The sequence below is a fragment of the Homo sapiens genome, chromosome X (assembly GCF_000001405.40).
Source record: "Homo sapiens chromosome X, GRCh38.p14 Primary Assembly".
NCBI classification, from domain to species: Eukaryota; Metazoa; Chordata; class Mammalia; order Primates; family Hominidae; genus Homo; species Homo sapiens.
In genome coordinates, this window is record NC_000023.11 from 29,293,336 (window position 1) to 29,319,097 (window position 25,762).

Sequence of the window (25,762 nt, forward strand, 5' to 3'; positions counted from 1 at the left end):
GGGTAGTTTCTTAGATCACTGGATTAAGAAAAGCTTTGTCTAATCTTACCAAGTCCTATAGGAGAGACAGCTTTGAGAACTCTTTGAAATCAATTGTGTCATGTTCAAGGCAGAGACTTATAAATTTTCTTCAAAAAGTATCAAATTAATATGGAGTAGATAGAGTACTGGAAAAGATACATTTGTAAAATAATTAGGTGCATAAAGTCCAATTTGAGATTTTATGTAGTCTTTTTTGTTTTCCATTTTAGGTCAAATGAATCACCATAGGCCCTTTTCAACCATGGATATAACATGTGTATTTATCGTATTTCACAAACATTACTGAAAATCTAGGACATGACATAATTGGTAATTATAATGAGGGAATTTTAAAAATTACAAACAACATATGCCAGGCAAACAAATCACTTACAACCCAACAGGACTTTATTGGTGGCTATACAGGGTTATACTGTGATTATTACTATTTGTTCTTTATTTGTAAAAAACTATTCTCCAAAAAAAATAAAATGTTAACTGCTAATATTGATGCACTAAGTGAAGAGAAATTGATTAGGCTTAATAAAGTAGTAGCTGCTGATCAGCAAAATTTGGGATAAGTGATAAGGTAATCACTTATTTGAGATCAGTGAAAAAGAATAGGAAGTTAAGATTATTCCAGGCTCTTTCTAAATCTAATTTTGTGTGTGGTCCTAAAGTAAAAAAAAAAAAATAAATGAATAAAAATCTCATGGAATGTAGAGAAGACAAAAAGGGGCTGATTAAAGAGCGTATGAAGGACTTGTGATTTGAGCAGTAGTTTCAAGACTAAACTCATGGCTAGGGAAAGTGTAACTGGGAAAGATTTCTGTTAAAAGGTTTCAGGAAGACTACTACAAGAAAAATTAAATAATGAATGAAAACAGGGGTTGGCAAACTTTTTCTATAAAGAGTAAAATTGTGCACTTTGGGAGGCTGAGGTGGGCAGATCACGAGGTCGGGAGATCGAGACCATCCTGGCTAACACGGTGAAACCCCGTTTCTACTAGAAATACAAAAAATGAGCCGGGCGTGGTGGTGGGTGCCTGTAGTCCCAGCTACTCGGGAGGCTGAGGCAGAAGAATGGCGTGAACCCGGGAGGCAGAGCTTGCACTAAGCCACTGCACTCCAGCCTGGGTGACAGAGCGAGACTCCATCTCAGAAAAAAAAAAAAAAAGTAAAATTGTAAAAAATTTTAGATTTTTCAAGCCATATAGTCTCTATTACAACTACTCAACTATGTTGTAATAGCTAGACAATATCCATACACAAGATATAAATGAGTGGACATGGCTGTGTTTCAATAAAACTTTACTTACACAGACAGGTGGTGGGACGGATTTGGGCTGTGGGTCACAGTTTGCTGACCCCTGATCTAGAAAATGCCTTGCAGCTGTCAAATAGCAAAGCCAACAGTAGCAACTGTTGTTATTAACAAAGAAAAAGCTACAATATATTCCTGATAAAGCAAGTAGATCAGTGTTGTTAGAAAATGGGCTTTCTGTAGGTGATAGTTAGAAGGATGACTGTAAATAATGGTAAAAAAATGCTAAGACTTCAATGCCAAGAAATATCAAGCAGGGAATGGAAAACAGAAAGCAGTTTTCCTGGAAGTACCTTACAGGAATTCTATGAAACCAGAGAAATTAGAAAATGGAAAACAGACAAGGAGTGTTTACAATAAATGAGGCATAAGGCAATGGGGGGCCTATGTTTAGAGTATTAATGGTAGAAGTGCCAAAGAAAATAAAACAGATTCAAGGTCATTTTTGGAAGAAAAAAATCCATGAGAGATGATACTTGATTGGATATATTCTGAGCTTCATTGGATGTTGCTATGGGAAATAAGTAAAAGAGACAGCAAGAGGCCTATCTTAATGCTTTTCAATACAAACCTAAACATTTTTACCAAAACAACTCAAGCTCTGAGAAATAAAATCGCCTACACTTTAAGCTATTAGACAGGGAAACATGTAAATAAAGTTCCCCCATCGCTGGTTTGCCATAGAGCATTTGAATAAATAAAGGAAGGAGTTTGGGGGTACTTTCTAGGTTCTCTGATGGTCTGCTTATTAGTCTTTCCCTTAGATCATCTTAAAGGCAAAGGTGTAACTTTGCATCTTTGCATCTTTGCATCTCTTATTACACATATATGATCACTGAGATCTGAACAGAGTAAAATCTTTTGATTAGTTGTCACAGTTTGGGGGTGGCTTTGTGTATAACAAGAATCTTAGAAATAACGGTGGCTTAAACAGGAGAGAACTTTGTCAGGGAAAAGTCCAATATATCCAAATTTCAGAGCGGATGTATTGGCTGCCTAATTGTCTAGGCCTCAGGATTCTGCCCTCTATAGGGTATGGTCTTCATCCTTATTTTCCCAAGATGAAACTCTGTCCATCATATCTACGCTATTACAAGCTCGAAGGTGTAGACTGAAAGGAACAAAGGACATGATCCTTCCCACCTTTAAGAACAAGTCCCAGAGGTTACTTATATCACTTTTACTTACATTCATAGGCCAGAACTTGTTCACATAACTACACCAAGCTGTAGTGATGGCTTGGGTATGTAGTTTTTGTTAGTAAAACCCATGTGCCTGATAAAAATACTACTAATTTAAGGATTTCAAATTGATTTCCCTAAGAGAAAAGCCTAAGATAGGGATTCCTGTGCAAGTGAGCTATGAAGAGAGTGCTCTCAGAAAAAAACCTGCAGGGAAGAAGTCAGGCAGAGATGTGTTTTCAAGTCTAGCTTCAGCCTGATCCCACAGGGAGCTGTGGTGCATAAATTGCATCACAGAGTTTAATCTCACATTGAAGCAAGCCTGGACATCGCAAGTATCTCTATCTGAGTGGTTCTTGTCATACCAAGGTGATTATCAAGAAAAGGGTACAGCTATGGGCCTTGACCAGCTAGTACCCACAGCAGCTAGAGAATGAGTACAACAGCTGGTGAAGAAATTCTGGGTGGGATGTCAAAAGCATCTGCTACACTGAAGAAGGAGGACAGATTTTGAGGGAAAATTAGTAGCCATTTTTGTAAGAGCCAAAAGTATCCCTTCACACATACTGAGATGACTCAATATCCTATTTCTGTTTTGTACATGGTTAGTACTCTATCAGTATTTGTAGAATGAGTAATGCATATTCTTGGACAACCTTCTTTTTTTTTTTTTAATTTCCACAGCCATCCTTTACCATTTTTGAAAGTATTAAGAAATGTTAATACTTTCAGTACCACCATACCTACCCCCAGTACATACACAAGCATCCTGCCCTCAATAGCTATTTCCTCTACTCAGATTCTAAGTCACACTCACAACCAATTGTAGAATTACCTCACTGGCATTCTGAAGAATTAGCTGGCAAATTTCCTGCATTTTCAAATATTTTAAGTTCCGGTTTCCAGAAAAATTCTCCTTGCCCTGGAAATAATAGCCAGACAACTATGATTAGAATATATATAACCTGCTTATATTCACCTTCTTTAAATCTTTGGTGAAGAATAGGTATGGCTTTTCTCATCGGTTTGCTCTGGCCTAGATTTATGTTGGTTTTACAGTGACATTTCTGACTTTCAGGCAAGTATCCATTGAGTAACTGTTTTATTATACAAAATCTGAGGTTATAAAATAAAGACTTAAATGAGCATTTCACTGATTTCATTATATCTCACAATTATAGATCTGGATCTATCAATTTTTTCTCATGAAGGTCCCAAAAGACTGTTCTATAAGAGCCGTGATTATGGAGTGAATGAGTCAAATTTGAAGTCTGGTCCAATGGTTTCAGGAAAATGTTTTATATTGTTCTAAAGCCAAAAAATAAAGAAAGAATAAAGCATCATTTCAAAGCACTATCACACCAGGTTGGATTAGTTAGGCTTCATATTACAGAAAAGCAGCTTAAGTAAGATAGTTTAGTTTCTCACGTAAAGTAGTTATAAGGTAGGCATTCCTGGACTTTTATGATAATTTCAACGTTTTGCATGACTTAGGCTCTAAAGCTTTATGCTTTGCCATTCTCAGCATGTGGCTTCCATTCCCAATGTCACTACGTGCTCCTAATACAACTGAAGAACTGAATTTTTAATGTTATTTAATTTTAAATAGCCACATGTGGATCTTAGTCTTTGTTTTCAAATAGTCATTACAAGCTGTTTGTGGCTACTGTTTTAGAATAGAAACTCTTCTGGATAGCTCTTATTTAGCCTGGAATCATGTAATGTAAACATGGAAAAGATTTTAGATTTCACTGTAGGGGTTGCTTAGTTTTACAGATAAACAATGGAGGAAGTCCAAAGAAGTATTGGCTTTCTAGAAATTCAAAACTAATGTTTAGAAATACTGAAAATCGAGCTGGATCTTTTGATTTCTTAATCAGTGCACTCATAAAAAATAATTTATTAAAAATATTTTGTAATTGAATTTGTTGATTATTCAGGTAGATCTTCCTTTATTTACTTAAAAAAGTAAGATTTTAATACAATTATTTTTTTCAATCCATTCATTTCCAATGGCTAATTTATTTGAAGAATGATTGCAGCAATCTGACAACAAAGTTTTACCCCATCTACTCTAGATATTGAGGCTTAGGCTGTGTTTCTATTCTTGACTCTATAAGCCAATCCATTAAATGATAAGCTAACAATTAATTTACATTAAAACAAGACTACTATTTCTGTTACTGTAGAAGTTTTAGAATTAGTTGCATGTAAGTTAATGTGATTAAATTGGCTAGGAATATTTGATACTGTATCTATTTAATTTATTCTTTTAGATTATTAAGTATCTATTCTATGCAAGCCATTAGGCCAGCTGTTGGGAGCACAGCAGTGAATTAAACCACAGTAGAATTAAGCTAGAATAGAACATGTCTCTTCTGGAAGTTTATTCTAGAAAAGAGCCTTTGAAACAGTAATTACTTGGATCCTAACTTTTATGAAGAGAAAGAACAAGGTGCCTTAAGATCAGGCAACAGGCTGGCTTAGCCCACTTGGTAAATAGTCTCTCCCTCAAAGGCTCAACCTCTTCAAACTGAAATCTGACTACTTCTGAGGTTGCACAAAAGTTCCACAGACTGTTCCGAAAAAAATAATTTGAAGGAAATTCATCTCCAGAACCTCAACTTTCACATGTACTCTTGTCTAAAATTGCCTGAAATCTCAGAATAGCATTTCCTCCACCTTACAAAAGAAAGGCACACCTTTCTTCCTTCCCAAATTGTAGCATGATGCATTGCCCCAGAACTTAGGGTGCCAAACAAAGGGATAGTCTAAAATATTACTTTGAAAACTCAAGGCCCCTTAAACTCAGAGATCTTCTCCTGCCTGTGTTTCAGGAATTTTTGATAACTTCAGTGCTTAATCAAAGTTGGTATATTCCTAATTCAGAACAGCCAAAGCCTTATATAGTAGTGATACTGAATTGTGTCAGTGTAATTGGAATGTTTTATAGGACTATCATTTTTTCAAGATGCATTTGATAAAACTCAGGAACACACTTTACTTGTGATGGTTAATACTGAGTGTCAACTTGATTGGATTGAAGGATGCAAAGTATTGATCCTGGGTGTATCTGTGAGGGTGTTGCCAAAGGAGATTAACATTTGAGTCAGTGAGCTAGGAAAGGCAGACCCACCCTTAATCTGGGTGGGCACCATCTATTCAGCTGCCAGCACAGCTAGAATATAAAGCAGGCAGAAAAAAAAAAACACGTGAAAGGACTAGACTGGCCTAGCCTCCCAGCCTACATCTTTCTCCCATGCTGGACCCTTCCTGCCCTCAAATATTGGACTCCAAGCTCTTCAGTTTTGGGACTCGGGCTGGCTCTCCTTGCTCCTCAGCTTGCAGACAGCCTATTAAGGGACCTTGTGATCATGTGAATTAATACTTAATAAATTCCCATATATATGTCCTATTAGTTCTGTCCCTCTAGAGAACCCTGACCAATACATTTGTTTTCTTTCATATTTGATGTGCATTGTCCAAAAATAACACATGGAAAGCCTATTTCATTAAATCATGTACTATGTATTCCACTTAGTTAATTCTCATCATATTCCATTTATACAATATATAGTATTTTCTCTCTCCTATTAACAAATAACTAAAATTATTTAAACATACAAAAATAGATGTCACCTTTAAATAATAGGTTTTTATAAGTCATTTAAGGTAAATGTGACACAAAAAAGCTTGGAAACCCCTTTTCAGGGTTTCTCAAATTATAATCGTATGTCTAATTAGATTAAAAAAGGTCACCAAGGTGCTAGTGAATAAAACAAACAAACAGATTCCTAGATCCTACCACTTACTGTTGAATCAGAATTTCTGGGGAAACAAGGATCAGAAATCTGATGGATCAGCATGCATACAGATGATTCTTATCCACATTAAGTTTGTGAATTTATATTCAAGTGATAACGGTTACTATGGTTTGGATGTTTGTTTCCCCAAACCTCATGTTGAAATTTGATCCCAGAGTTGGAGGTCAGGTGTTACTAATGGGAGTTTGAGTAATGCGGGTGTGTCCTTCATGAAAAGATTAATAGCCTACTTCAGCAGTGAATGAGTTCTTGCTTAGTTTCCAGGAGAGCTGGTGCTTTAAAAGAGCCTGGCACATCCACCTTTTTTCTCTTATTTCTGCTCTCATCATGTGATCTCTGCTCTCTTTTGCCTTCCACTATAAGTGGAAGCAGCCTGAGTTCCTCAACAAAAGCAGATACTGGTGCCATGCTTTTCGTACAGCCTTCAAAACTGTAAACTAAATAAGCATCGCTTCTTTACAAACTAGCTAACCTCAAGTAGTTCTTTATAGCGACACAAAAAATGGACTAAGACAATGATCCTTTTAAGAGAGTTCTATCCCATACTAATTCAAAGTCAACATGGTGTTTCATATAATCTTGTTGTAATAGTCTCTTGGTGGTGGACATCCGGCACCTAACACAGTGCCCAGCACATGTTGGAGTGTCAAGAATTAATGATTGAAAGTGAATGGAAAAAAGGTATATATCTCCTCCCAAAACATCAGGAGATTGAATATAAAGGACACATCTTCCTTCTATAATGTGACAGATGCACTCTATAGTTACTGTTTGAGAGTTTTTTTAGTGCAAACTATTTACCTCTTAGGCTAAATTTAATTTACAAATGGAATCATTAGTAGTGAAGATATAGCAGGGTGCCTTCCAGATTCCTCTGCTGTGATCTTCAAATGAATAAGCACTGCAGATTAGTCAACCTTCTGAAAAGTTCTTAATTAAGGAAACCAATACTGTGCAGAATAACAGCCTGTGTGTTAACCTTGTTGACACAGTGTAGAAATCTCATGTAGATAGCTAGTACAAAAGAATAAAAATGTTGTTCTAGTTTCTAAAGTGGCGTTTCCAAGGAATTATACTTCTAATGAAAATTGCTGCTGTGGATGTCTGTTCAAAGGCTTTGGCTTACAAAGTAAAGATTTGAAAATATCAAACTTGCTTAATCTCTGAATGTTGTTTTCATTCATTAGGTGAATATGACAGCTCTCTCTTTACCCTAATCGCCCCCCCTGGAGGAAATAACATTTTTGTTTGTCTAAACAGTACTTAATGACTACTCTAAAATTAGAGTTTAAGATCTTTAACTCTAGAGTGCAAAGCTCTACGTCCTTGACTCTGACGTTTATCATGAATATTAATTTCTGATCTTAAAGTCAAGCCATGAAATTTTTATATATTATCATACATTTCCCTTGACAGTTTTTGTAATTGCCGTAATTTCCTCATCAGCAAGAGTTGTTTGTGGCTCTCCTGGTCTGAGGAGGCTATAAATTTGGCAGCTTTGAATTCCCTCTTTTGTTTGAATGTGGAACCATCGACTTGTTTACTCTGAACATTAACTAGATCTCAGATCTTAAAAGAACTATAGTTTTTATTGGTGCCTTTACATGACAAAAGACTCAATATATTTGTTGCCATTACATGTTTTCATTGTTACCTTTGGATTGACTTTCTTGTTAGGGGAGATTTATGTCCATCTTCAGATACTTTTCCTGCTACTCACATAAAAATGTTATTTTCTGCCACATAGCTACCATTTTCTTTAAAATTGATTTATTAGTAGTGTTTGATTATCGAATACCAGACTGTATATATTCACATTGTGTATAAGTATCCAACATGAAAATTATTTAGACAATATTCATGGACATGTATACATAAACACACATACTTTTTAATATATGTAATTCAACTGAAATGTTATCTTCCGTTTGTACTTTCAACAAAGATTTATCGAACATCTACTACACATCAGGCCTGGATTTTTTTCTGCACACAGGAATAAAAATAGACAAGACACAAATTGGCCTGAAGATGCCACAGTCAACCAGGCAAACAGACAGACTCATAAAAAATTATCTGTATCACTGTACGGCAAATGCTGTTAAAAATATGGTGACAAAGAGCTGTTGCAACCAGAGAGACTCAGGGATGGATACACAGAAGACAGGTCTCTGAGGCTACACGAGATAGATCTTTCTTCCCAGAGAAATTGAAAGGGCATGTTATTTTACACAGTAGGAGTGGCCAGACATGGTGATTTAGTAAAAGAGCTTCAGAAGGGAAAAGCAACAGATACACGTGGCTGGAGTGAAAAGTGCAAAGTGGTGCGTGGGAAAGAAACAGAAGCTAGAAAGTTAACTTTTGGATAGATTTGGGAAGTACCCAAGAATAGAATCTCAGGTTCAGGTGTTTGACTTTTTTTTTCTTAGGACCTGAAGACAGTGATCCAGGATGGCCTAAATGTCGCAGAGAAAATTATTCTATATATTCAGTCATTCAGACAATTATCTAATGAATTCTTTATGAGAGTTGTTTTTGGCCAGGTGATGAACAAGAGTCAAAGTCTCTGTTCTTAGGAATCTTATAGTCTTTCAAGAGAGAAAGTTAAGTCACTCAACGTTTAATGTCTGATATGACAGAGGTTACAACAGAGAAAAGAACAGAGTGTAATGGGCACATAGATGTGATGTGTAATTCAGAATAAAAATCAGGTAAGGCTTCTTGGAGATTTAAATATTGAGTTCTGATACAGAAGTAAAACTTACCTGGATGAAATAAGGAGATGAAAAAGGAGATTTGGAGGAGATCCTAGGTGGTAAGATAGTATATGGCTACAGTCATTATATATTCTTCTAATTGTCCACGACTATAGTAAAGTTCCCATGACTTGGGTCATTTTTAGAGAAGTTGGAAAGGATCAGTTCATGGTCTTGGGGTACAAAACGGGAGAGCTGAAACTTTACACAAAAAGGTTCAGGGAGACAATGAAAAACTTTAATCAGATGGATGACAAAAATTGGATTTGAGTTTTGGGGCGGTCATTTAGCAGCAGTGTGTGGGGATGTTGAATGGAGGGCTTGGAGAGTAGCATCTAACTACAGGGTTGTCTTAGATTGGACTCCTCTAGAAACAAACCGCAAGGAAACATCACTAGAGGAATGGGGAAGTAAGATGTAGCAGAGAAGGGAAGCCAGTAAAGTATGCATTATAAAGCTGTTTTATCCCTTTTGGCAACTGGAAATTAGGTTTACTGGAAAACTCTGTGAGACAATGTAGACATACTCTCAGAGTTATACCCGAAGGGAGAGGAAACTGGGTTGTTTTTCTACCAGCTCCCTACCTGTTCCTGATTGAGGGTTTCTTCTACTAGGAATCTTAGTTCTCTAGCATTTCTGGCTTGCCCTTCATGAAGACCAAGGTTGGTCTCAGGGCCAGACAAAAGCCATCAGACTGAGGGTGTCACGTATTTGTAAGAAGCAGCCTTCATACGGTAGACGTTTGGGTGGGGCACTGACATAATCAGCTAAAGAACTAACAAGATGGGAGGTGTTGAGGGTCTGGACTTAGGCCATGATAGTGGTAATCCGGGGAAGTTTGGGAGTGCTACTAGGCCATTGTTTTAATAAGATTTGGCCATGCATTAAATGTTAGGGGTAAATTATGAATGATGACTTTCCAGAGAGTAGACAGATGTTGATGATGTAAAATGTGTGTGTTTAACAACGTAAAGGTTTTAGTATAAATATGAAACCTATATTAAAGTCTCTTTATAATTGTATCTATTTTAGAAAAGTATTATAATACAGCAGTATAAAAACTCTCTAACCAGAAGACCTAGAGTACTTCCTAGATCCAGATTTCTAACAGCATGAATCTTGGATGATACTCTTAATCTCTCAGAGCGTCTCATGAAAAAAATGGAAGTAAACATGAAAGAAGCTTTGCATATGTTACGTAAACCAAAGTGTCAGTAAGCCTTGTACAAAATTTTAACTTTTAAATAGAAATTACATAAAGTATTTGGGCCCTAGGACCTACCAAGTCGATTATTATTAATGAATGAGTAAATCTAGTCAATCAAAGACCTTTCATTTTTCCCACACCTATATTTGAACAGATGCCAGTTAGTGAGCATCTTTGTTTGTTAATATCTGTACTTCATACTTAATGGACTAATTTTTTCTCTATCAAAAAAGCTGCCTTTGTTAAAACATTTCAATCAACTAAATTACTTAACTCTAATGCCTATTTTGAGGGAAAAATATACTTAGAGGGAGAATTAAATGTGTAATTTTATTTCTGCCTCATTAAACCTCCTCTGTGTCTAGGCCAACAAGAGTTTCCTCCTCCTCCACCGGCACACACTTATTGGACGCTTCATTGTGAGAAAATCCTCAGGTCGCTGGAACTTGGTAGTGAGTTACATACCTGCCCGTCCCCTCCAGTATATGTACTAATTATCTTATGGAAAATAACTATTTTCTTGCTTTTTTTTTTCCTCAAGAAAGCCTTGAGTCTCATCCAGAAGTCAGATGAGTGTTAGATTTCTTCCTTCTCTTGGCTTCAATGGCAACTCTTTTTTTTCTGATTCTAAATAAATAGATTGTTATACCCACATGAATATCCACAGGACCAACACTGCCCCTTTATTACTCAGGAAGTATTTATTTTTCAGCTTTCTCTTTCCTTTCTGGCCCTTTGAAATTCAAGCTTATTTAATAATGAATTTTAGTGAAATTATTTTAAAATATCTTTTAATCACATTAGCAAACTTCTAGCAGAGCATTGAGTTTCTTCCTCAGATAATTCAAGTTGTCTTTTCTAAAATATGTACTTAAAATGACTTTGAAAAAAGAGATGTATGATGTCAGAAATTTCTTTCAAAAGAATCTGGGTGTGGTTGGGGTGATGGGTAGGGATATAGATGAAATTAAATAAGCGCTATGTTGATAAATGTTGAAGTTGGATGATGGTATATGGGAGTTGTGTAGTGTTTTCTACTTTTGTATATGTTTGAAATTTTTTCTACACTTGAAAAGATAAGAGAAATTTAAAAATTAAATTGGTTCTCACAATTTTATTTTTGTAGCTGTTTTTTATTTGAGACGAAGTTTCACTCTTCTTGCCCAGGCTGGAGTGCAGTGGCACGACCTCGGCTCACTGAAACCTCTGCCTCCTGGGTTCAGGTGATTCTCCTGCCTCAGGGCATGCATGTGTACAAGCAATGCCCTTACCATTTATGCATTCAACTATTCTTCCCTCTACCCATTATTTAATATAAGAAGTACTTATGATGTCTGTGCTGCTGACTGTGCTAATCATTGAAGAACCTAGGGTGAGCAAAAACACACACAGCCATTGCCTTCATAGGACTCATAGAGAAATGAGCAAGAAACCCAATGAGAAATCACACAAATAAATGTAAAATTGCAAAAATAACAGCTGTTAAAGAGGAAAGATACATGATTTTATGTGAAATTATAACCGGGTGGTATTGACTTGATGATTTGAGAAATCAGGGGAGGCTTATCTGAGTTTGTGCTGATTTAACTGAGATCAAACTTTGATCTTGGTGTGTGGAGACATAGAACATAAACCTCAATTCACCCATGGTAGACATGTAGCTTGAGTGAGAAAATGTAACTTTGTTATTGAAAAAGTCATGACAATTTTGTAATCTGGCCTATCCTGATGAACATTCATAGGGTTATGATGGGTTATCCTTATATATCTTGAGAACACCAAGGACAGTGGCAGAGCTTGGAGTGAGAAGGAAATCCATAAACCAGATGCCAAACCTTCCTGGAGTCAGCATAGACATGAAAATGCACAAGAGGGCAAAAGAGTTATAGAACCAACTGGTATGCATTTCAAAAGAGCAGGATTGTGGAGAAGAGAGTGGATGAATTATTATTTAGGAGCTGGAATAGGAAGGAAGGATATCAAGCCCAGTCCCTATCTCTGAAATGCAAAAAGTATGAGGAAGTAAATAAGCACCACCTGAGATAGCTGTAGGAGAAGTGATAATCACAGAGGAGAGCTAGGTTTGATTGGGTGAATACCAAGAAGAGAAGGGGATACTAAGGATTTAGAGCGGTTATATGAGTATGGAAATATTGCATCAAAGGGTACAGTGAAACAATTTGAGCCATGAGATGTGTGTGTGGGCACAGAATATGAATAAATGAATGAATGAATGAATAATAGCATTATAGAAATGCTAATGCAGTAGAAGTGTATGTATATGAGTGTGTTGGAGAGGGGATGCTTACAATTTTGGCATTGATTTGTTAAACTAAGGATGACAGACATCCTGAATTCAACCTTAATATCTCTTTGAGGAAGATGACTCACTTGGTTGGGGGTGATGGGAAACCCAGAGGCAATAGAATCCATATACTTTTGATGGTGGGTTGATAGTAAACCAGATCTTCAGATCCCCAGTGTCCATTACTACCTACGTTGTAGTCTAATCTCTCATTAATTCTCACATGTTTAATTCCCTCCAATCCAGCTGTCAGACATTTTTATTCCTCTCTGCTTAGAAATTGATATTTATGGGGGGCCGGGCGCGGTGGCTCACGCCTGTAATCCCAGCACTTTGGGAGGCCGAGGCAGGCGGATCACGAGGTCAGGAGATCAAGACTATCCTGGCCAACATGGTGAAACCCCATCTCTACTAAAAATACAAACATTAGCTGGGCATGGTGGTGGGTGCCTGTAATCCCAGCTACTCGGGAGGCTGAGGCAGGAGAATGGCTTGAATCTGGGAGGCAGAGGTTGCAGCAAGCCAAGATCGTGCCACTGCACTCCAGCCTGGTGACAGAGCAAGACTCTGTCAAAAGAAAAAAAAAAAAAAAAAAAAAAACGAAAAAACCAGAAATAGTTTATTTATGGCCAGGCGCAGTGGCTCATGCCTATAATCCCAGCATTTTGGGAGGCCGAGGTGGGTGGATCACAAGGTCAGGCGTTCACGACCAGCCTGGCCAATATGGTAAAACCCCATCTCTACTAAAAATACAAAAATTAGCTGGGCGTTGTGGTGCACGCCTATAGTCCCAGCTACTTGGGAGGCTGAGGCAGGAGAATGGCATGAACCCGGGAGGCAGAGGTTGTAGTGAGCTGAGATCATGCCACTGCACTCCAGCCTGGGTGACAGAGTGAGACTCTGTCTCAAAAAAAAAAAAAAAAAAAAAAGAAATTGATATTTATAAAATATAAATGTGAACTTGTTATCTCCTGTTTAAAAATCCTTCAATGATTTTTCAAGCTTTCCAGATAATATTTAAACTGTGTTAAAACACAAAAGCCCTTTACCGTCTCTCCTGTAGCTACTACTTTAGTGTCCCTTCAAAGCACTTTCCCCTACTCATCTTTCATGTCAGCAACAGAACTATTTTAATTTTTTAAAGCTTTCTTGTTTCATGCTGCTGTACTGGTGTCTGTGCTATTCAATCTATCTGGAACCTCCATCCTAACCTCTTTGTCTGGTTAACTCCTCCCCAAAGGGATTAATGACTGAATTAATGATGCCGCATATGTTTTTCTAATGTTCTTTTGAAGTAACTCAATTGACTCTGAAAGTTTCAGAAACCCCTTGTCAAGTACTGATCAAGCAGCTTATTTCACTGCATATTTTTTAAAATTATTTTTTCCTGAAGTTTCAGAAGTCATGACTTTATTTCCTTTGGAAGTGTTCAATATTTATGAATAAAATTATGAAGATAATCATGTAAAAACAGCTTAATAAATTTAAATAAATTTTAATAAAATAAAGAGATGATGAAAAAAAGGAGTTATGAAAAGCCATAACAGCAGAGAAAAAAGAAGCTACAGGAAGTGTGAATTGGAACTAAGATAGAACTATACATAGCATAAATGGGAAATGTAAGAATGTAAAATTTGTGCACTTGAAGAAACTGAACACAATTGCAAAAGTTTATTTTGATAAGTGGAAAACATTGTCATCATTTGTACATTTTTTTCCCTTAATAGAAAGCTTCTTAAATTATATCTAAGCACTTATCTTATTGCACTGAATGTAAGATGCCAAATATAGTAAGAGACACAATCAACAATGCTTTCTTATAGCAATCATAAAAGATATACCCAATTTTGGAGATGATAAAATACAAGCAAAATGCACATCTTAGAACTGATGAAATCTGGAAATTGATGAAAAAAGTCAAGTAACTAGGTTATTGCATACATGGTATTAGAAAACTGCCAAAGGAAATTTTTAAAATCTTTAGAAAGAAAATTATCAATACTGCTTGATCACATTTGATATGAATTTTTAGGAGGACACAAATATTCAGTCCATAACACTCTCTGAGCTTGTCTTCTTCAAGATTCTTTCAGTTGCAAGTGACAGAAAACCGAGATCAAAGACTGATTAAGCATAGAAAGGGATTTTTTTGATTCACGAACTGAAAAGTCCAAGGATAGCCTGGCTTTTTAGGCATGTCTGGATTTAGATTAGAGGCTCACATGATAACAGCTGAAACATTCTCTCTTTTTCCCACTTCTTTCCTTGGTGTTGGCTTTATTCTTAGGTAGGCAAAGATGACCCCTATCTCCTCTAGTCTTAGATTCTACTGTCTTAGCCACCAGAGCCAGAGAAAGACATCATGCATTCCTAAATCTCCAACAAAAATCCAAAGTGTGGCTCTCATTGGCCTCATATGTCCATCCCTGAACCAATCACGGTGGCCAGTGGAATAGAATATTCAGATTGACCAGTTCTCAGGCATAAGAACCAGAGAGAATCAGTCCAACTTGAACTACATGCTAATAACAAAAGAAGGGAGAAAATGTTGGATAAGGAAAAACAGTAGAGGAGCCCCAGTACTCACTAAATAGGATTAATTTCTTAAATCTGCAAACTGGGAGAAGATACCAAACCTTTAGGACTGCTGTGAAACAGAATTAAACAATATGTGTTATTATACTGAATTGCACTCATGTGACTAAATTATTACACACCACATACCCGTATATTGCAAAATTCTAATTTCTTAAGGATCTGTCCTTGACTTCATTGTGGCGATTATACATCCCCCTTGTAGCCCACGATAGAAATGATCAATAGAAAACATTGTCCAAGCGTCCTGGCTTTCCTCAGGCAAGATGTTAGTTAATGAGACCTCAACAAGGATGAGTAACTCTTTCCAAGGGACATCTTCAGGGTCTCCCTAAAGGAGAAATCAATGCCCCCTAACTGATTTGGATGAGGAAGCCACTAGGGTCTCAGGAAGTCCCCCATTGAAATGCAAATTGGTCTAGCTAGGGCTTTATCTTAAACACCAGCAAATAGCTCAGTTATTACTTAGCACAGCTGCAGGGATTATCAAAACTTGCAGTTTTGTTGTCCTATAGGACATAAGTCAATATTGTATCTAACTTTGCAATCTTATTCTATCTCTTTTAGTCAAAGCGATACTGCACCAGGCATTTGTTAAAAAAATGGCAAGGAAAACTTTATTCAAAGCTATTGTAATATCAGTTAAGACTATTGCAATAGGGGCAAGAAAGTATACTCAACTTTATTGAAATGAAAGGCAGGAGAGGTTTTAAGCCTTAGGGTGAGCTAGAGGAAAAGCACTGGAAGACACTAGGGGGAAGGTCGGTCAGGGTGATTGGGCTTATCAAAATTAGGCTCCTACCCTCCCACAGAGACTGAGAAATGAGGATGTTATCTTTCTTGATGATTGGATTTCAAAAGAATGGCTTCCAGGTGCTTGAGAAAGACATTCCAGGGATGTAGAAGATTTACATCTCAAAGGGACAGAGAATACATTTACAATGGAAAGTTTTCTAAAATAACTGCTCCAAAAAAAGGGCGGGGCTGGGCTCAGTGGCTCACGCCTGTAATCCCAGCACTTTGGGAGGCCAAGTCGACTAGATCACCTGAGGTCAGGAGTTTGAGACCAGCCTGGCCAATATGGTGAAAACCCATCTCTATTAAAAATACAAAAATTAGCCGGACGTGGTGACGGGCGCCTGTAACCCCGGCCACTCGGGAGGCTTAGGCAGGAGAATCACTTGAACACAGGGGCGGAGGTTGCAATGAGCTGAGATCACACCACTGCACTCCAGCCTGGGGAGACACTGTCTAAAAAAAAAACTGGCCAGGCGCGGTGGCTCACGCCTGTAATCCCAGCACTTTGGGTGGCCGAGGTGGGTGGATCACGAGGTCAGGAGATGGAGACCATCCTGGCTAACACGGTGAAACCCTGTCTCTACTAAAAATACAAAAATTAGCCGAGCATGGTGGCGGGCGCCTGTAGTCCCAGCTACTCGGGAGGCTGAGGCAGGAGAATGGCGTGAAACCGGGAGGCAGAGCTTGCAGTGAGCCGAGATTGCACCACTGCACTCCAGCTTGGGCGACAGAGCGAGACTCCGTCTCAAAAAAAAAAAAAAAAAAAAAAAAAAAAAAAAAAAAGAAAGGAAAAAAAAAAAAACAAAAAAAGGGTAAGTCGGGAGCTTATTAAGGAAAGAATCCTAGTCTCTGGCATTCTATTTGGGCCAACTTTGTCATCCTTGTAATTCCCTCTAAAGCTTTGGCATGTGCTCACACTATATCCGTATGAAGTTCATGGCTTTATATTTATAAAAATTATATTTTGACTTCTTTTCTCTTATATTAGTTGGTAGAATAAGCAGAAATCAAAGAAGCTGAAACTAGAAAACAGAACATAGCAAAATAGCAACAAAAAGACATTAAAACACAAATTTTGAAAGGGCAAAAAATCATTTTTGGAATCTGACTAATGAGACAGCATGGGGAAGGCTAATGGGGTAAGGAGAAGAACAAATAGAAATAATTGTCTTTGGAATGTGAACATTAACATAATGGAGAGCAATGAATAAGAAGTATGACAATGTTAAGTATTTTATGTCATTGTCCCAAGAGGTGCTCAATTGAGAAATCACACACACACACACAACTTTAATTATAAGAAAAATATGTGGTAACAAAATAACAGGAAAACTCAGAAGTCAGAGAATAAATTGCTTATTACCACCTCCTAAGTAGCTTTTAATGCTCTTTCTAAATTTTCTTTGTAAATTCAAAAGTTAAATTGAATTTTGATTCAGACATAAAATGAAACTGGGAGCATTTATTTCTGTATTGCCAGGAGAAATATTTACCTTGATTTATTTAAATTCTTCTAGGCATTCCTATTTATTCAATTTTATAAACATCCTCTTCTTTGATGTTACTCTAAGTTTATTGTTTCATTGTCTGAGAAAAATCTTATTGCCATTTCCTAAATTGGTGTTTTTTTCCCCATGAAATTTCCAGAAGCATCCAAATGACTGGATTAAAATGAAGTATGGCAAATTGCCTTTTAGAATGACTCTTCCCAATTAGAAATTGCCAAAAGTAGAGATCAAAGCAGTATACAGTGGTTTTAAACTAGCTCATATAACATCTTCCATGAGCTAGTTATATAAAGATTTTTGTTTTGATTACTTTTATCTTATAATTATTCTTACCAAATTCCAACCATAAAAGATATTTTGTACATAATAGGTACTCAATAAATGAACATTACATTTGAAAAGCAATGACCTGCTTTATATTTCAGTCTAAATGTAATCGATATGAATCAAGCAGTAAAGAATATGGCAGAGTTGCATTACAATTTGCAGTCCAAAAATTCTTGAGTAATCTCAGGAAAAATGTACTCTACCAGGGCTTTCCAAAGATCGTTTTCAGGAATACTAGCCTGTCTATGTGCTGCCAAAGCGAGCACAGGAATACTAGCCTGTCTAGATCAATGCAGTTAACACAACCCAGTAGATCTCTGTGCTTGATGATGAAAATATTCTATGTCTCTGCTGTTCAATACAATAGTCAATAGCTATCTGTGGCTGTTAAGCACCTAAGATGTGACTAATGCAACTGAATAACAATTTTTTTCATAGAAATTAATGTAAATAGCCATATGTTGCTAGTGGCTACGGTACTGGACAACATAGCTCCAAAGTTCTCAAGAACAAAGAAAAAAATTTATTTATTTTTCTTTAAAGAACAAAATTTTGTCTAACCTAGCATTTCCCAAATTTAGTTCATCACGAAATTCCTCTTTCTACTTTGAGAAGAACATTAGGGTACACTTTTCAAAAATTTTATATTATTAATAAAAAGGAATAAGATGTTTAAGGCCATTTACACATGATTCCTTATTTTATTTGCTGATTCATTTATGTATCCACTCAACTAACATCTAATGAGCTAGGGGCTTGGCAATATTGAGATACAGTTTTGTTCATTATTGAGTTATATCTAATGGGACAGGCAGATTAATCAAGAGATAATTACACACAGTCTGGTAAGTTCTAAGAAACACAGAGGACTGTGGGAATACACAGGTGGGTGCAGAATCAAAATTTGTCATGGGGAAAGTTTCCAGAGGGAGAATGGAGGACAAGTAGGACATTGTCTGGTTAAAAAGAGGTCCCCGGCCAGGCGTGGTGGCTCACGCCTGTAATCCCTGTGCTTTGGGAGGCCGAGGAGGGTGGATCGCCTGAGGTCAGGAGTTGGAGACCAGCCTGGCCAACATGATGAAACCCCATCTGTACTAAAAGTACAAAAAAAGAAAAAAATTAGCTGGGCGTGGTGGTGTGGGCTGAGGCAGGAGAATCACTTGAACCTGGGAGGCAGAGATTGCAGTCAGCCGAGATCGTACCACTGCACTCCAGCCTGGGCAACAAGAGCAAAACTCCATCTAAAAAAACAAAAAGGGTGCCTTTGCATTTTTATTTCTCTTATTCCCCTCCCCAGGGTTTGACACTTAGTCTGTCTTATTCAAGCTAAGTCCTTGAATCACAACTATGCCTAGATCCTTATGGGTTGCTTATTTATACCTTTAAACAAAGAGAAATTCATCTGATTTTTACAGATTGATTTGAGAATTAGAGGCTGTTAATACTATTTCCTTTTTGCCACCCCAACCACTTTTTCCTGTTCTAACTTCTTCATACTCCAGTATACACCACAGAAACAGAGGCTGATATGGTTTGGCTCTGTGTCCCACCTAGATCTCATCTTGAACTGTACTCCCATAATTCCCATGTGTTGTGGGAGGGAGCGGTGGAAGATAATTGAATCATGGGGGTGGTTTCTCCCATACTGTTCTGGTGGTAGTGAATAAGTCTCACGAGATCTCATGGTTTCATAAGGGGTTTCGGCTTTCGCTCCTGTCTTATTCTCTCTTGCCACCATGTAAGAAATGCCTTTCACCTTCTGCCATAATTGTGAGGCCTCCCCAGCCAGGTGGAACTGTGAGTCCATTAAACCTATTTTTCTTCCCAGTCTCAGGTATGTATTTATCAGCAGCATGAAGAAGGACTAATACAGAGGCCATTCGTACTTTAAATGTATTACGGCTAATTATAGTCAAGAGATTAGAAGTCATAATACAAATATTAACCACAGAGAGGTTTAAATTTCTCTATATAATCTACAGTCTTCTCAAAATAGCCTTCAAAATTTTGACCTGAGAGCAGGAACAGGCCTTTCATGTTTTAATCCTCAATAAAACACAGACATACAAGCCTGTGTGTGTGTGTGTGTGTGTGTGTGTGTGTGTGCGCGCGCACATGCATTCTCACGCTCATAGTCTGTCTTTTCCCAACTTCGACAATTGTCCCACTGATTTCTCTGTACCTTCCTTTCTATTTTAATCAAATCTCCGCAAAATAAATAAGGGATATTCTAAAATGTAAATCTCATTAAGCCCTCCCCCAGATAATACTCTTCAAGAGTTTCCTCAGTTTCCTTCAAAATATGTTCTATGGCCATTAGAGTAGTTTAAAATTCCCTGTATAATCTAGTCCAAGTTTATTTCTCCAACCTCAGAGCAAACAATTCTAGAACAGTGTCTAGCATATAATAAACACCCAATAAGTGTTGGCTATTGTTTTAGGAAATGGTTGTCTGTCCAGGAAGCCTAAAAAGGTGTCAAACCACAATATTAGGGAGGCAATGCATAGTGCAGCCAATTCACAAAAGAGAAACAAGTCCTAGAAATGTTACTAAGAGCTCACCATTCATGACAACACTAATCTCCTCCCGCAACTCTGCCCTCACCCTTCATTCTTTGAGGCTTCAAAGGATGAAGTTTATCCATTCATATCAAAACCTTCCTTTTTCACATATCAATGCACATTTAAAATAATCTTGTAGACACTGTTTTCTCCTTAAGAGTCTGAGAGTTAGGAAACAATTCTGTAAATATTAAAAACACAGGTATTGTAAGACTGATTGGAATCTTACAAACTAATTTTGTTTTACTAACCAAGACAGTGTAGGATAGTTACACGAACCCAGGTCTAGTAAATAATTCATTCGCGATTGTGGGATTGAGTGCAAATAATTAGTGTAAATTGTCACTTTCTCAAAACAACCGCCATAATAGCCTGTTGATTAAGCAACGCTGAGTTTATTACTTAGTGCAGTAATAAAGATCAACACTTGACACAGGGTCTTAGTTCTCTGAAGACAGTGGTTGAAGGTAGATATTTTTTATAGAGTTTTGAGGGGGTCTAGGTTCAAGTGGTTTAAAGAAGTTCTTTGAATGCAGAGATTTGATTGAAATTGGGCAAAATCCAAGATATAATAGACAAGAATTGGTGGACCCAGTGAGTCCAGGTTCTTAGAATAAGTCTTGATGAGTAAATAGCTGTTGAATAAGTAAGGGAGTTCATCATGTTAACAATCCATTGTCCCATGAAAGGGAGCTTTTTCTCCAAATAAACAACTTATTGTCTTAAGACAGAGCTACTTGATCACTGTGTAGTTCAGATAAATGCAGTTTCAGGAATTTCCTGACGCTGTATATTAGTTTACAACATTATTTCCTGGGAAAATGTTTTGTGGAACAAAATGCAAAGTTATATTGACGTAGGGGCCTTGATAATTAAGTTGAGCGACAACCTCTCTGAGTTTCCTCAATTGTAAAATGGGGATACCAGTGGCACCTTTTTCTTTTGGTTGTTTTGAGGATTTAGTGAAATAATGTGCATAAAGTCCTCAGCAGGATACCTGGCACTTAGTAAAAGTACAATGGCTGTTAAATATATTTTTCAACTACTTTCACAGTAGTTACTCTTAAAGTATCAACTCATTTTTTCATCCACTCTTCTAAAACATTCACCAAAATATTATATGCCATGTTCTTTGCTGTGTGTTAGGAGCACAGGGATGAAAGAACCATGTACTCAATAACTTGTACTTATAGACATGTTACCCTATTACTGGAGACTGTTTTGGTAAAAATAGGAATAACATGCCAAGGCAGCTCAGGGGATGTAGGAAAGTCTAAAAACCTGTCCTAGTGAAACTGATGCTTGACCTGGGCCTTAAAGGATGAGTAATAATCCATTAGTCAGCCAAGGGTCCGATCATTCCAAGCTAAAGGAAAACTATGTACAAAGGCTAGGAACTATTAATTTCCATGCTGGGTTCCAGATATAAAGGAGAAATCCATGTGATTTCACCTAAAGGGTCAGATGGATCAGCAGAAGATGAGTTCGGATAACAAAAATAATAGTTAATAGAATTCAATATATGATAAGAATATTCGGTGTTTATAACAAACGGGATAATTCCAACCAGAGGATGGAAGGATCAAAGGTTTTTTTTCTATCAAGGTGTGGAGCTGGGGTCCTATCTTACACAGTTTAGTCATTCTCAAATATTTTTATACACCAGAAAAACATGGAAAGACTTAAAATTGCCTCCGTCTTGCTCAAACCTTCCGAAGATTCCAATTTAATTGATCTGGGATGGAGCCTGGGAATCTATATTTTTTATTTTTGTGTGTGTTTTATTTGTTTAGTGCTCTCCTAGTAATACTAATATATAAGTAGGACAGAAAGCTGCCTGCAGTAAGCAGTCACAACCCAATACCAGTAGTTAGAAGCCCAAAATGAGTCATTTAAACAATATTCTTAAGGTCCACGTGCAAAATTCTGGAAACAAGGAGTCAGTAGAGGTTACAGAAGGTAATTTTAGCAGCAGTGAGAGGTTGAATTAGGACAGTGAGTTTTCAGTCATTTCTGCTTATCTGGCACTTGCTTTCTATGAAGAAAAGGAAAGAGCATATTCAGATACTCCCAGTGATACTGGAGTCATAGTCTCAGGCTAAGATAGTGGGCATGAGATGAGATGGACTCAAAAGACAGAAGTAGATGTTGGGATAAATTAGAGTATTGGGATAAAGAAGAAAGAGAGAGCTCAAAGAACAATCCAAAGGTTGTAACTATAGGGGCAGGAGCAGTAGGTCTAGGATGTAGATAAAGAACTAATTTGAAAGTGTTGACTATAGGCAGCTTCCCAATAAACCATGGCTAATACCTGAGCCATTATTTCTTTCACAGCCCCAGGCACAACTGTGTGGTGCCTCACTTTCTGAAACATTTTAACAGTCTCCTCCTTTGTATATGACCCCAGTGCCCTCAGGCCATTCCCGGACTGCTTTCTTGGTTTCAAAATATTTCCTCTACTTAAGTATTGGTTTTAGAGGAGACTGAATTGAGAATTGTGCTATAGGGAGCATCCCAGAACCACGAAAATGACAGTGGTTATGAACTATCACTGATGAACATTTTAGGCAAAAGTGGCCGATTTTGAAGATGACCTCGAGGTCATCCAAACTTCCCTCTTTCCTCATTGCCAAAGGTCCTGAGGAACATTATGAAAAATAAAAATTAAAGGCAGGTGGAAAGCCCAAACATACGTCTTTTTATTTGTGATATTGAATTATAAAGTGAGAATTACTAGGCTTTGTTGATGGCAAAACCAGACTCTGTAAAATATTTTAGGCAGTCAGATTACAGTTTGGTTTTATACATTTTATGAAGGCAGGAGTTTTAGGCAAAGACATAAATCAATATATGGAAGGTACACATTGGTGAGGCCTAAAAGGGTGAGATATCTTGAAGCAGGGGCTTACAGGTCATAGGTGGATTCGGAGATTCTTTAATTTGTGATTGGTTAAAGGAGTAAAGGTTTGTCTAAAAATTTGGAGTAAGCAGGAAGGAATGTTTTAAGTTAAGATAAGGAAGTCTGTTAATCAATACACTGGGTCAGAGTGACCTGTAGGGGTGTGCGATTTAACCCTTGTCTGACATGGCCTTAGGTCCTGTTTATAATTTGGTATCTTAATGTTGCAGAGTCCATTTTGTTAGTCTTTGCTCTCTATTTTACAATAACATTAATGCTAGTCAGTTGTGCCTAAACTCCAAAAGGGAGGGGGTATAAAAAAGCGTGTCTGACCTCCTTTCTTGTCATTGCCAGGAATTCAGTTTTTAAGGTTTCTCTGGGGTCTCAGTGGCTAAGAGAGGGTCTGGTCCATTTGTGACGGGCTAAGGATTTTATTTTTAGTTTACAGCAGGATCAATGATTATGTTTCCTAAGGGACCTAATTCTAGAAGTCCTTCAGTTCTCCCCAAATATTTTGGGCCCTTGTGTCACAATTGCTGAAACCCTGACTCCAAATTTGGGAGGATAACATTGCTGCCAGCTTTTTACTGGTATCAAGAAAAATGCCAGAAAATATGCAACATATGTTGCCATTTTGTCAAAAGCAGCAATGTTAACATGACAATGAAAGCAAGTTCCTTTTGGATTTCTTTTTAATCCCTGGAAGGTCAGAGGGCCAAAGTTTTCTAGTAATTCATCTAGGAAATTAACCACCTTTGGCTTTTCTTACTATTTTAATTTACAATTATGATTTATAGATGAACGTTGGTTGGAAAATATTTTTACACATAATGGCTTTTTTAGAATAGCATCTACAGATACATGACAGAAGGATAAAAATTGTAACTGTGACAGCAATTTCAATCAGAAATAAAAACCTTAAGGAGCATCATGAAATTTACCAAAATTTATGCTTCTGATTTCATGGTATGTATTTGTTGATTTGTTTCTTCCCCAAGGGATTAGTAGTGAATATGTAAGTAAAAAAGGACATGATTACACATGAAATACAATATGTCTTCTGGGAAGGTGGAGAAATCTTTCAGCCTTAGTGGCATTCACGTTTGTGTGGCTGTGTATGTGGATGTGTGAATTTATTCAACAAAAATGATACCACTTCCATTTGCATGATATTGTAAAGATTTTTTTCTTTCCCATATATTCTCTCTTTTTGGTCTCCTGATAATCCTGCGAGGTAACATTAATATATGTGATACATTTAATGAAAGTCTTTGACAGGCAGCAACATATTTGAGAAAACAAGCTTGGGAAGTAAGCAATATTATCTTCATTTAAATAATGAGAAAAATGAGTCTCAAATAGGGTAAGTGATCTACCAACCAGCACCCAGCTCTCCAAGATAGAACTGATACTCAAAACTAAGTCTTGTTAACCCAGTACTGTGCTTGATTCATAGAAAATGTTCCACAAATATCTGAAATTTAATTCATAGTTTGTGTAGGTACAGCATGCAACCACCACAAGGAATTTTGGCTTTCTCTTTAAAATGTGGACTTTTATGTGCCAAGATAAATTTTCTTTGTGGCTGAATGTTTTTCAGGAAGAGATTACTCAACTAATTTGAACCACATTGACCTATCTGTAATTTATGGAAAAGTGCAACATAATACAGGATTATAGAGGCTAGAGTCACGCTTGCTGAATACATATGCTGTACATTATTTTGAAAGAAAGAAAACATTTTAATACAAACTATGTGAATTTGATGACGCATTTTCCCTTTATTTCTGTTAGTATAAACCTGCCTATATCTGATAATTGTTGGTGGGCATGAAGTAAAAGGAAATTATCCCCCTTTCTGTAGGTTGTCTGTAAAGAAATAAAGCAAAAGGGAATTAGTACAAAATAATAACGGTAATCTAAGCAGACATAGAGTTCAGTGTTTGTTTTATTTCACAGAAAGATGCCTATGCAACTTGTGTAACAAATTGGTAGGCTGAAAGAATAACCTCATGTAAATGAAGAATGTAATTACCATCTTCACAGTTTTGGTACATGTTGGAAATGTCATTTCAATCAGGGCTAATCATAATATGACAGGAATAACTGTGATACCATAAGTGATAATGTTATGCTGCTCACTTTTTCTAAATTTGGTGGCAAAATATGCAAAGATAAAACTTTCAAAGAGCCAGTAAAACATGTTCAAGAATTTTCTCACTTTAAAAAATATTTTCAGGGAAGTACTCATCATTATAGATCAACAATTATTTTGATAACTCCATTGTTTTTAAATTAACCCTGTTTTAGTATTTTGGTCATCTTTTATGGTCAATTATAAAAGAAAAGGATCCATTTTAAGTGACAATAAGTATTTGATATTTTACTTTTTCCACATATATATTCCTATATTCCATATGGCACATATGTATATTTTGTATATATTCCACATATA

At 36.9% G+C, this 25,762-nt stretch overlaps 1 protein-coding gene across 3 annotated transcripts in view, besides 4 other annotated features; it reads left to right on the forward strand.

Annotated features, from left to right (window-relative positions):
• IL1RAPL1 (interleukin 1 receptor accessory protein like 1) overlaps positions 1–25,762 on the forward strand; it is a 1,369,273-nt gene that overhangs the window by 705,890 nt on the left and 637,621 nt on the right. The window contains exon 1 of one of the 3 annotated variants that reach the window (XM_017029241.2): positions 1,188–10,765. The exons of the other annotated variants lie outside the window; for them this stretch is intronic. The gene's annotated coding sequence lies outside the window, so the exon portion shown is untranslated. Of the gene's footprint in view, positions 1–1,187; positions 10,766–25,762 lie in introns of those variants that run through there. 3 annotated transcript variants of the gene reach the window in all.
• Positions 3,693–4,416: an enhancer, noted in NCBI's record as "OCT4-NANOG hESC enhancer chrX:29315145-29315868 (GRCh37/hg19 assembly coordinates)". NCBI's record gives its function as "activates a minimal SCP1, AML or CMV promoter by ChIP-STARR-seq in primed H9 embryonic stem cells {active_cell/tissue: H9 hESC(primed)}" and the evidence as "EXISTENCE:reporter gene assay evidence [ECO:0000049][PMID:30033119]".
• Positions 15,336–16,043: an enhancer, noted in NCBI's record as "OCT4-NANOG-H3K27ac-H3K4me1 hESC enhancer chrX:29326788-29327495 (GRCh37/hg19 assembly coordinates)". NCBI's record gives its function as "activates a minimal SCP1, AML or CMV promoter by ChIP-STARR-seq in naive and primed H9 embryonic stem cells {active_cell/tissue: H9 hESC(naive and primed)}" and the evidence as "EXISTENCE:reporter gene assay evidence [ECO:0000049][PMID:30033119]".
• Positions 16,044–16,752: an enhancer, noted in NCBI's record as "OCT4-NANOG-H3K27ac-H3K4me1 hESC enhancer chrX:29327496-29328204 (GRCh37/hg19 assembly coordinates)". NCBI's record gives its function as "activates a minimal SCP1, AML or CMV promoter by ChIP-STARR-seq in naive and primed H9 embryonic stem cells {active_cell/tissue: H9 hESC(naive and primed)}" and the evidence as "EXISTENCE:reporter gene assay evidence [ECO:0000049][PMID:30033119]".
• Positions 16,753–17,459: an enhancer, noted in NCBI's record as "NANOG-H3K27ac-H3K4me1 hESC enhancer chrX:29328205-29328911 (GRCh37/hg19 assembly coordinates)". NCBI's record gives its function as "activates a minimal SCP1, AML or CMV promoter by ChIP-STARR-seq in primed H9 embryonic stem cells {active_cell/tissue: H9 hESC(primed)}" and the evidence as "EXISTENCE:reporter gene assay evidence [ECO:0000049][PMID:30033119]".